The sequence below is a fragment of the Homo sapiens genome, chromosome 19, assembly GCF_000001405.40.
Source record: "Homo sapiens chromosome 19, GRCh38.p14 Primary Assembly".
Lineage (NCBI taxonomy): Eukaryota > Metazoa > Chordata > Mammalia > Primates > Hominidae > Homo > Homo sapiens.
Genome location: NC_000019.10, coordinates 31,202,306 through 31,214,450, shown reverse-complemented (window position 1 = coordinate 31,214,450; position 12,145 = coordinate 31,202,306). Strand labels below are relative to the sequence as shown.

The following is a 12,145-nucleotide window of genomic DNA, read 5'->3' as shown; positions in this document are numbered from 1 at the left end:
GTTGTCTCCACTCAGCTCACTTCCTATGGAAAGGACTCAGGTATGGGGCAGAGTCACTTCCTGCACCACACCATCAGCAAAGCTAGCTCCTCTTGGCTGGCGCAGGCCCTCTGGCTTCCCAGCTATGAGGTCACGCCAGCTGAGAATTCAATGATCTGTCTTAACCACAGTGACTCATGCAGCCTCTGGTTACCCTGCGGCTGGGACCCAGTTCCTGTACAGGAAGACATATTTTAAATGATTACATGAATGACGGAGAGTGCGCAGAGGGCTTTCAAAGATTTGGAACAACCAGCCGGAAGCGCCAAAACTTACCCGGGTTTGTTCAACCTCATTTGGTTTGAGAATTAGAAGGACTGGTCCCGACGGGTGCTCTCTGACTACTGCTAAGAATCTCTCGTCCTTTCTAGCAGTGATGGCCTGGCGGCCACACTCAGCACAAGTTAACGATTCCAAGTGCAGGAAGAAGTAAGGAGTGAGAAATAAGAATAAAATAAAAAATAAAATCCCCCTAAATTGTCGCAATTTGAAAACTTTTCTCAAATCCTCAAAGGAAGATAATTGTCTAAACTCCAGGGGCAGCTCGAGGCTCAGAAGAAAGAGTGTAGACTTATTCTAAAGAGAATGAGAGTGAGGACTGGGCACCAAACGTGCGCTAAGTGCCAGCACGCTCATTCCTTTTATGTAATCTGCTCCTCTCCTCCATTGCGTTTTTTTCTTTTAAATAGACTTTATTTCAGTTTTTGGTTCACAAGAGATACAGAGATTTCCCATATACCTCCTGTTGCTTACACATACATGCAATCACCCCGTTACCAACATCCCCCACCAGGGTGGTACCTTTGTTACAACTGAGGAACCTACATTGACCCATCATCACCACCCAAAGTACATAGCTATGTCAGTGTTCACTCTTGATGTTGTACATTCTATGGGTTTACACAAATGTACAAAGACATGGATCCACCATTATAGTATCCTATAGAGTAGTTTCACTGTCCTAAAATCTTCTGTGCTCTGCCTATTCATCCTTCCCTCCTTACCCCTGGACACCACTGATTTTTTTTTTTTTTTTTTTTTTTTTTTTTTTTTTTGAGACAGAGTCTCGCTCTGTTGCTCAGGCTGGAGTGCAGTGGTGTGATATTGGCACACTGCAACCTCTGCCTCCTAGGTTCAAGCAATTCTCCTGCCTCAGCCTCCTGAGTAGCTGGGACTACAGGTGCATGACGCCACGCCCGGCTAATTTTTTTGTATTTTAGTAGAGACGGGGTTTCACCATGTTGCCCAGGCTGGTCTCAAACTCCTGAGTTCAGGCAATCCACCCGCCTCCGCCTCCCAAAGTGCTAGGATTATAGTCTTGAGCCACCGCACCCAGTCAATCTTTTTACTGTCTCCATAGTTTGCCTTTTCCAGAATGTCGTATGGTTGAAATTGTACCATATATAGCCTTTTCACACTGGCTTCTTTCACTTTATTATAGGCTTTTGAGATTCTCCCATGTCTTTTCATGGCTTGTTAGCTTCTGTCTTTATAGTGCTGAATAATATTCTGTTGTCTGGGTGTACCACATTTTATTTATCCATTTGCCTACTGAAGGCAGTCTTGGGTGCTTTCAAGTGTTAATACTTATGAATAAACCTGCCATAAACACCCATGTGCCTTTTGTGAGACATAAATTTTAATCTCCTTTGGGTAAACATCAAGGAGTGGGATTGCAGGATGGTATGCTAAGAGGATGTTCAGTTTTGTAAGAAGCCACCAAACTGTCTTCCAAGTGGCTGTTCCATTTTGCATTTCCATTGGTACTGAATCAGAGTTCCGGTAACAGAGTTCCCCAGTACTCTTGGAAGCACTGGGAGTTGTCAGTGTTCTCGATTTTGTCTATTTTAACAGGGGTGTAGTGGCATCTTATTGTTGTTTTGATTTTAATTCCCCTGATGATACATAATGAGAGCCTTTTGCTTTTTATTTTTCTTTATTTATTTTTATTTTTGAGACACAGTTTCACTCTGTCACCCAGGCTGGAGTGCAGTGGTGTGATCTTGGCTCACTGCAACCTCCGACTTCCAGGTTCAAGTGATTCTCCAGCCTCAGCCTCCCGAGTAGCTGGAATTACAGGTGTGCACCACCACGCCCGGCTAATTTTTGCATCTTTTCAGTAGAGACAGGGTTTCACCATATTGGCCAGACTGGTCTCGAACTCCTGACCTCAAGTAATTCTCCTGCCTTGGCCTCCCAAATTGCTGGTATTACAGGTGTGAGCCATGGCGTCTGGCCACCCTTTGCTTTTTTTGCTTTTTAACAAATTACACTAACTCAATATGTGTGGTAAGGGACTGCCCTAACATTTCACGGTTTTATCTCAAAATTTCCTATGGTATCAAAAAAGAAAAAAAAAAAGAGAGAAAGAAAAGCTTAAAAGTGCTCTCAAGGATTTGTTTGTTTGTTTGTTTAAAAGGCTTAAAAGCCTCAATCTACTGAGCAAACATGCCTCCAAGCATCTACCCTGGATATCTTTATATAACCTCAACACGCCTCAGTCCAGAAGCAAATTTATTGTTTTTCACTTAAATCACCTTTCCCTTGATCCTTCTGTTGCTGTCACTGGCCTTGTTGTCTTCCAGTGCTCAGGGTCCTGCAGCTCCTGCTTTGTCACCCCCAGGCCAAAGGGCTCATGCTGAACCCCAAATCCACTGATTGAAACCCCACACTCCCCGCTCCTCACTGCTGGAATCTCCCTGCCGGCTCCCAGGGTCTGGCTGGCCTGGGCTGGCTTTGCCACTGAATCTCTTTTTGCCATTTGCCCATGGCTGTCTGCCGCTACTGGGCTGGTCTGCCTCACAACACTTCATGCCACCTGCTTTTCCTTCCTCTGTGTCCTTGCTGGAGCCTGGGATGCCCTTCCTCACCACTGCCCCTGCCCCAGCCCAGGCTAGCCCAGTCCTGCCTTCTTCCCCGGGTCCAGGAGCCCACAGTCATGCATCCATCCGCTCAAGAGAAGTTGGTGTGTCCCTCTAACTCCTGACCATGCTTCCCTTCTGCGTCTGCTGTAGTCCATCTTACCTCTGTCATTAGACTATGAGTTGCTTGAGGGCTGGAAATCTACCCCTCCCTCATCTCTGCAACCTGCTACCATTCCCAGCAATTTCACACACACAATTACCTGTTGAATGCATGTTGAATGAATCTGAGATCGATTTTGTAAAGATAGGGGGAAACCATGAGCAGGAGTTGTCTGAAGAATGAATCCTTATTTTAGATCCCACTGAGTCTCTCTGTCATGGACTCTTTGGACTATGAAAACAGGAACAATTATGGTGTAAATGGACTTTGAAAATAGCAATAATTAGGTAATTAAAAATGTACTTCACTTTCATTATAGTGTCCATAAAATTCCACCATCGAAAAACAAACTATTTTAACATATTTTACTTAATATAATTCATGTAATTGTGATTTTTATGTTCCACCTACTTATGCAATTAAGTAGTACATGGCTATTTCTTACAATTAAACATTGCTAAAATCTGCCGCCAGTTTGGAACACAGAGTATGATATATTTAACAACATTTTATGCTAAACACTAGACACAGTTAACACTGTATTCATTTAATTCCATTTTAATTAGTTGAATAATATTTTCAAATGTGAATTTAGACCTAACTAGAATGGCACATTACTTAAGGTTGTTTTCTTTCAAATTATGTATCTGTAACCTGTTGAGGTTTCTCGTAGAAGAAAATGGTGGTACGCGTGGGTTCCTGAGTTGAAAATCGTGCAGGTTTTTCAGCTCTTGATCAGAGCTTCCTCTCACTCGTTAGATCCATTCTCATGACATAGTGTACACCAGCAAAATCTCCCCTGTTTCTTCTTGAAGTGTTAACCCCTAGACACTCATGAAACGTGTTCCAGGCATGGCTGGGCTCCTGGAAGCAGCCTGAGGCCCGAGACACAGAAGAAAGGAGATCAGAGGCTTCATTTTTCTAGATATACCTCCTGCTTTGGGGAGAGGCATTCTGAACTCCTCAAACATACTGCCTCTGCCACTGGCCCTTGTCACCAGCCCTGATCTCTGAGTGATTCAGAGGCGAGAAGTGGGGAAGAGAGGAAACTTCTTGGTTTCAAGAAGAAAAAAACAGGTGCAAAGCCCTTTTGAGCCTATGTCATTGGTGACATTACTATAAGATTTCCCATTCCTGCTTTTCTTGAGAGTCCCTCCAACCCAGGCCTGTGCCTCTATAGGCCAAGCTTCACCTTTGGTCCCTGGACCTGCCCTACCTCCATTTCCCCTGCACTCATTTGCCTGGCTTGGAATATCCCCCCAAGTACATCTTCCCAGAAGTTTCCCTTTCTCCTCCACTCTGGTCTCCTTTCCTTCACCCTCCCATCTACCAACCACTAACTCTCAAATGAAGTGTCCTTAAAAAGCTCTATGCCTTGTTACCTCCTTCAAAATCAACTCCCCTTCTTTTGTTCATGCTTCCACATGGCTCACTGACCTGACCTTCTCTCCCTTTGTTCCTAGACTTGAACCCCCCACCCAACCACTCCACACACCTTGGCTGAGACCCAGCCACAGAATGGGGAGAAGGGGTTGGGGGCCCTTGAGGATTTCATCTCTCAAGTCAGGATTACCCTCACTGCACCTAAGGGGCATCACTGCTCATCCCAACTGCTGACAAACACCATTCCCACACCTTATGCCATTGAGTTAGCCCCATTCATGTCAGGGCTCAGCTCCCACCATGCCTGTCTCCCATGATGCTTTCCTAGCACTGCCTCAGACCCTCAGAACTAAATGAGATAAGGCATGACCAAACGCTTAACAACGAACACGACAATAATGAGATCATTAATGCTTATTGAACACCTTCTCAGTGCCTGGCTCTGGTCTTAGCACATTACATTAATCATCTAATTTAGTGCTCCAACAGGCACAAACTGCTCCTAGTATCCCCACTTAGGGTGGGTTATGAGACTGGCCTGAAGTCCTATAACCACTCAGTGGAATAGCCAGAATTCAAACCCAGATGATCTGAATCCTGGATCTGTGCCCCTAATCACTACTCTGTCCTGTCTCCCTAGCAGGGGACCCAGCAAATGGCAAGTGTCCAGTAATTATTAGTTACTGCACTGAGTCCCAAGGAATACTCTTCTTTTCATTGTTCCCATTACTTTTGCAATTGGAGTCTCCAAACTCATTGCTCAGTTTAGACTATCAGTTAATTTTCAGTTAGCATTCTTTTTTTTCCCCTGCACCTGGCTGGGCACCCACGGGCAGCTCAGTCCCAGGCTTTCTACATGGAGTCATAAGGTCTTTGTCTTTAGGCTCTTGAGTCCATTTGAAATCTACCAGGGAATCTGTCAGTGGCCTTGGACCTGGCGTCTGGCAAACTGGGGTCATTCTTGAGATCCTCAATCATGGCCTTCTGCTCATCACACACCTCAGACATCGGGATCCTGACTGCTCCACTACCTTCAGGTCCAGCTCACATCCTATTTTGGTTTCCTAGCCTCAGCTCCACCTGATACCAACCCCAGCCGTCCTAAAATCCTGGCATGGCTTGGGCCTTCCACAACTCAATTTATGGCTGGGGCTGAAGAAATGTTGTAATGAAGGTAGCGTTGGTAAGTAAGATCTGCACATGGAAGAGTGTGTTGTCAAACACCTCTGAAAGAGGAACAGTGTGGCCACAGTTCAGGAATCAGCATTGGGAAAGCCACGACTTGTGGTAAACCATGTCTTCACTGCCCCTACATAAAACCAGCTGTGATAGGTTCCATGCTATGTGCCAGGGAATTATGCTATGACTCTTCTAATCCTATTTCCAGTTCCCATAAGGACCCTGCAAGTTAGGTATTGCTACACTCACTCTACAGGAGAAGGAGAAGCTCAAGTGTACAGTGGATATGTGATGTTTTTATCTGCTCACAATTCATTGTTTCTTCTAATACTAGCACCTTGACTTCCCTTTTCCATGTATACAGTCTTCATGAACTACATTGCAGGGTTCCTAGCCCTTCTTGCCAACAGACAGGCGTGTGATAAAAGCTCGGCCAATTGGACTCTCTTTCTTGGGAGCCTGAATGTTAAGATGAGGAAGACAAAGATGGGAAATTATTAAAGAGGGTTTATCCCAGCAGGATGCCCAAAGAGACCTCATTACTTTCTTCAGTCTAGAGGCCTGGAGCTGCTCAGCCCCCAACTTTCCAGGACCCCTTGTTAATTCAGCTTTTGCTTTGATATCCTAAACCAATTCATATCCTCCTCACGTTAACTAGCATCTATTTTTGTTGCTTGGGACCCCAAAACTCCATATGATGGAGGAACATTCATTCATTTATCTACTGAAGAGTTCTTGAACACATTCTCTGTGTGAGGCTCTGTGCTTGGTGCTAAGGGTGTTGCCACGAGCAGGACAGAGGTTTCTATAATCAGCAAAGGCAGTCATTCGTTGCACTTATGATAAAGGTTTTAGAACAAGGAGCTTGTCCTGGGTAACACACAGGTCCATTCCATGGCTTGGCATCAAGATAGCTTGTCCCATATTCCACACTATTTTATAGGCCTGTGTGCTTTATACACACATTAATCAGGTATCATTCAAAGGGATTCTTTTCTCCACCACTGCACTAAACTACTGTTTAGCATGAATAAGTGCCAAGTATATAAAAACACAAGTGCAGTTTCCTCAGAAATTCCTCTATCGATCTGGCCAATCCATTCTTTCTTGGGAACTTTGTGAAGGACAGTTTCTTAGAGTCAAAAGAAGCTCATATAGTGAATCAGGAGACTTGACTCAATTTGTGGTTTTATTACAAGTTTCCATTGTAATATTAGACATGTTAGTTCTCTCCAGTCTCAGTTTTCCCTTATATAAACTCAGAAATAGTTCAGATTATCTCCGAGGCTCTTCTGCTTTGACATTTCTAGATATCTTCTTCAAGCCCCTGGAATTAAGAGAGAAAAAAAGTTGCTTCTCCCTGTGACTTGAGGTTCTGAATGGCATCAAAAGAGTTAAACTTTGCAGTACTTCACAACATTGATAAAAAACCTGTGTATTTTAATTTCTAATAAAAAATCAAGCAGGTATGAATAGCAATAAAATTGCTCAAAAATTGTTCAAATTGAAGGGAAACAATTGGAAATGGATTTGGAAATATAATGGTTAGCTAAGCAAGCTATAATGTTCTGTTATTTTAATCAGCATTGTAAAGTAATTTAAATGGTGCAGGAATAGACTTTTGTACTTTAATATATAATCACTTTTTTCAATGCATTCATTAAAAGGTATTTCATGTTAATGATTCTATAGCTGAGAACAGACACCAGCAATAATGGTCTCTCGCCTGCTCCAGGTTTATGTTTGCAGGTTTTAGATTTGACTTTTATTTCCACTCTTCCCGCCTAGTCTTAAAGAAAAATTTCTGCAATTTTGGAAGAAAATTCTTGTTAGTTAATGTTGCAAGACTAAAAAAATTAGAAAAGGAAACCTAGGACTTTCCTCAATATTGTTTCTTCTATAACACTAGAAAGTTGGGGCAGATTGCAGGGGTTATCCCAACAACTTACCTGCCTTCAGGCCCCTGGAATTCAATAAAATATAAACGTGGCTTTTTGTTTAAAAATCTTCTACATATAGAGATGAGATTCTGTCACCCTATAGCCATTTTGTCTGTGTTAAATTAATGCTTATTGAAAATGGAAGATTTTGTATGAATTAAATGCTGAAAAATAGATTTCTTTCTACTTAGGGGCTGATGTCTACTATTATCAAATGGCTATTTCAAAAGTTTTTTTTTAAAGAATAACTTGAAATTTTCTTGCTGCAGTTTAAGTATTTATCGTGTCCTTATGTCCTTGCTGGAGAAGGGAATATAAGACAGCTGAAGGACATGTTGCTGCTCCCAGAATGGTGAAGCAGCCCAAGGATTTTGCAGGCCTGGACTTGTGTTTCCAAGGACTTTCCTTTCTCCCAAAATAAAACATGCTTTTGGTGTCTCTTGCTTTGCTTTTGCCTATGTTGGTACTTGTTCAGTGAGAGAAATCAATCTGTCCATCCATCTCTCCACCTATCCATCCATTCATCCATACACCCATCCACCCATTCTCTCATCCATCTATCCATCCATCCATCCACCCACCCATCTATTCACCCATCCATCCATCTACGTATCCATCCATCCATCCATTAATCCACCCACTTGTCCATTAATCCATCCAATCATCCACCCATTTATTCATTCATCCAGTCATCCATTCATCTGTCCACTCATCGATCTATCCATTTATCCATTCACACATCCATCCATTCATTTATCCATCCATCCATCCATCCATCCATCCATCCATCCATCCATCCATCCATCCATTTCACCCATCCATCTATTCATTTATCTTCCACTCACCCATCAATTCATCCATCCATTCATCTATGCATGCATCCATCCACCCATCTATTCATCCACTCACACCTACTCATCCACCCACTCATTCATCCCTCCATCCAGCCAACCATGTATCTCTAGAATTTCCCCAAGAATAGAACATAGCCCTAGATGTGTCTTTAGAGCCATTTGAATACTATTTCCAAATTATAAAGTTTCTAGTTTGTCTATTCAGAAACATTTTTGGAAAAGGCAGCCTTGTATTTATCAGCTAAGTTCCAAAGAGTAGGATTGGATTCAAAGTGCTAAGGAGCTGAGAGGTGGGGAAAGGGGCCAACAGCCTCTGTTTTGGGCTGAGTCTGCCCCAGATGGAGGGTCGGGCAGTCATTCCTCTCTTTGGAATGGCAGTGAAGGACTGGAAACAAATGGCAGACTCCAGGTTGAGACTCATCTTCACATGGTGCTCCCTGGTGAAGCGGGCTCAGCCCAGAGCCAGCTGGGGCCAGGAAGGAATGAAAGCTGCTGAGGTCACACTCTTGGTGAAAAGAGCTCTCTGGGTCCTCCCATCCCAAGTTTCAGGAGCCATAAACGGCCAGTATTTCAGTGCCCTTCAGGAGAAAGAAGTGGATCAAAGATTGAGGGAGCAACGCAGACTTGCAGTGAATGCAGAGATACAGTCAGCTCTGTCCATAATGGAATAAAAAAGGGGCAGGAAAGGAAGCCTCCACTTACTAGCTGAGAGTCCCTAAAATGTTCCACCTTGGTTTTCACACCTGTAGATGATAAATTATAAAAATTGTGGTATCGCAGGCTTAGGGTGAGAATTGCATAAGGTAACAAGTGTAAGGCACTTGGCCCCAAACCTGGTGAAGGGTGGCTGCTCAGGGACTGATAGCTGTGAAAGAGCAATTGTGTTCATGAACAGCCGACAAGGAACCTCTCCAGAATGGCACCTCACTGGCTCATCTCCTACACCTCTGCAGGATACAACTAGAGTCCAGGAAGGATCGCAGCCCTACTGAGAACTTGAAAGACCCCAAGTTCCATCCTCAAAGCATCCTCGCTGCTGCATCATTACAAAATCCCCGTGATCCACCTTTTCAAAGGTACATGTTAACTTATCTACATGGTGTGTGCTTACTGAGTGCCTATGGGGCTGTCCAGCTCCAGCTCCCTGTGTCGAAGGGAGGACCAAGGGAAGGGAAGGCTCTCCTCTCACCCTGGAGGGGCTTGTGGCTTGCTGGGCAGAGGAGACGCAGTGCACCTTGCAGCGCTGGACAGGGCACCAGGCAATGTGTGGAACAAGGTTTCCATGCCTGCAAAGTGCAGGAAAGACAACTCAGGACGGAAACATGGACAGCCAAGAAGCTGGGAAAAAATGATCCTTTGCACTAGCAAACAAAGCAATGCCTATAGCATTGTCAGTAACTTAACATTCTGTCTACACACATCTAAAGATTAAAACAACAATAACAACAACATTCTACTCATGGCTGGGGTAAGTGTAAGGAGGTACAAGCAGTAATGAAATTTGCTACAGTGGAGTGATATATTTGACAAATTTAATTTACATAATTTTAACTCTGCATTTGTCCACCACACCCCTCCCCCAAAAAGGGGAAAGAAAGAAGGAGAGAGGGAGGTAGGGAAGGAGGAATGGAGGTACCAAGGAAGGAAGGGAAGGGAAAGAAAGAAGAAGAGAGGAAGGACGGGAGGGAAGGAGGAAAGGGAAAGAAAGAAAAGGAGAGAGGGAGGAAGGGAGGAAAGAAAAAAGGAAGGAAGAGAGGGAGCAAGAGAAGAAGAGAGGAAAGAAGGAAGGAAGGGATTGAAGAAGGAAGGAAGAAAGGGAGATGATATGGTTTTGCTCTGTGTCCCCACCCAAATCTCATCTCAAATTGTAATCTCCACATGTGGAGGGAAGGAGGTGATTGGATCATGGGGGCAGTTTCCCCCATGCTTTTCTTGTGATAGTGAATTCTCAGGAGATCTGACGGTTTTGTGAGCATCTGGCATTTCCCCTGCTTGCACTTCGCTCTCTTGCAGCCATGTGAAGGTGTTTGCTTCCCCTTCACCTTCCGCCATGATTTAAGTTTCCTGAGGTCTCTCCAGCCATGCGGAACTGTGAGTCCACTAAGCCTCTTTCCTTTATAAATTACCCAGTCTTGGGAAGCTCTTTGTAGCAGTGTGAAAACAGGCTAATACAGGAGGGAAGAAGGAAGGAAGGAGAGAAGAGAGGGGAGAAGAAAGAAAGGAAGGGAGAGAGGGAAGAAGAAAGGGAAGAGAAAAGGAAAGAAGGAAGGAAGGGCAGAAGGAAGGAAGATGTACCTAAAGCCTGCCTTACCACCCATCGTTTCCCTCTGTGTGTGTGCTCAGGAGTGAGCACCTGAGGGGAGATCCTGCTGCTTTCTCCCCAGAGCTGTTTCTTCACTGGGTCTGTGTGGTGTGACCGTCCCGAGGGCTGGATCTGAGACTCATGTTTAAGGACCCATTCTCATACCAGATGTCCCCTAAAGCCTAACAGCTCCTAGCATAAGAACTGCAAAGATGGCTCTCCTTGCTACCCACCCCCACCTTGTGCCCTACAGTCTGTTTTCTAAGGAGCAGCCAGAGAGATCCTTTAAAACAAGTCACTCATGTCATGCCTTTGCTAAACATGCTCCACAATTTCCATTCCTTTCTGGGAAAAAGTCCATATCCACCCAATGCCCTGCCTAGCTCACCTCTCTGGTCTCCTCCTATCCTTCACTCTTCCTGCCACACACTGGTCTTTGGACACACCGACCTCCTTGTTGTTCCTTCAGCATGCCAATTGTGCCTCCTTCTCAGGGCATTCATACATGGTGTTTCCTCTTCTGGGAATGCCCTTCCACCAGCTAGTTGCATAGCTCAATTCTCACTTTCTTCAAGTCACCTCTTCTCAATGGAGCTTCCTTTGACCATCTAAACCTCTATGGCACCCTCCTCCAAACATACTTCTCTTTTAGCCCTGCCTAGTCTTTTTTTTTTCTATATTACTTATCATCTTCTAATGCTTTAGAAATTTTGTGATTGTTAGGCTTAATTTTCATTCTCTCTCTCCACCAGAATAGCTTTTTACAGTGAATATATTGGTCTAGTTCGGTGTCTGTCCCATCTCCATCTCCTGGCACTATGCCTGACACAGACTAGTTACTCAATAAACAGTGTTTCAGTTGTTGCATGAACAAATGAATTACTGAATGTCAATCTCCAACACTATTTTCTTAAAAGATGTGCCAGGGCAATTTTGATGACCAGCATTTTGTATTATATGTACTGACTTTAAAAATATCCCTCCCACTTCAGGTGAGAGTCTATTGTAGAAGGTTTCAGAAGGTAATTTGGCAACATATATTAAGGGCTTAAAAAAGAGTTTACCCTTGGAAAATTTCATGTGTGTTCATGAATGTTGAGCAAAACCACAGGCAGGTCAGTGTTGTATCAAATATAAAAAATTGGAAGTGATCTAACTACCCAATAATGATTGGGTAATAAAAAATTATGGTCTGCACAAACAGTGGAGTATTACTTGGCATTTAAAATGCAGAGGAGTAGAACTCTTTTTAAATAGAAAATGGTTATATGAATTGAAAAAATTACAAAACAGCAAATAGCTTGGAATATCACATTTAAAAAAAGAAATATACATATATTGATATACACATATATGTATTATGTATGTAAATATACATATACATACAGCGATATCTAGACATCTACATGTATTTCCTGGGAAAT

General features: G+C 43.5%; 1 protein-coding gene and 1 long non-coding RNA gene across 3 annotated transcripts in view, besides 1 other annotated feature; one reads left to right on the top strand and one right to left on the bottom strand.

Annotated features, from left to right (window-relative positions):
* Positions 1-12,145, top strand: part of TSHZ3 (teashirt zinc finger homeobox 3) — a 201,002-nt gene that overhangs the window by 136,427 nt on the left and 52,430 nt on the right. The window contains exon 3 of one of the 2 annotated variants that reach the window (NR_138036.2): positions 9,373-9,495. The exons of the other annotated variant lie outside the window; for it this stretch is intronic. The gene's annotated coding sequence lies outside the window, so the exon portion shown is untranslated. The remainder of the gene's footprint in view (positions 1-9,372; positions 9,496-12,145) is intronic. 2 annotated transcript variants of the gene reach the window in all.
* Positions 2,330-2,830: an enhancer, noted in NCBI's record as "H3K4me1 hESC enhancer chr19:31702527-31703027 (GRCh37/hg19 assembly coordinates)". NCBI's record gives its function as "activates a minimal SCP1, AML or CMV promoter by ChIP-STARR-seq in naive H9 embryonic stem cells {active_cell/tissue: H9 hESC(naive)}" and the evidence as "EXISTENCE:reporter gene assay evidence [ECO:0000049][PMID:30033119]".
* LINC01791 (long intergenic non-protein coding RNA 1791) overlaps positions 6,788-12,145 on the bottom strand; it is a 40,154-nt gene continuing 34,796 nt past the window's right edge. The window contains exons 4-5 of the long non-coding RNA NR_147209.1: positions 9,531-9,705; positions 6,788-6,952 (exon numbers count right to left, since the gene is read on the bottom strand). This is a non-coding gene — a long non-coding RNA (long intergenic non-protein coding RNA 1791). The remainder of the gene's footprint in view (positions 6,953-9,530; positions 9,706-12,145) is intronic.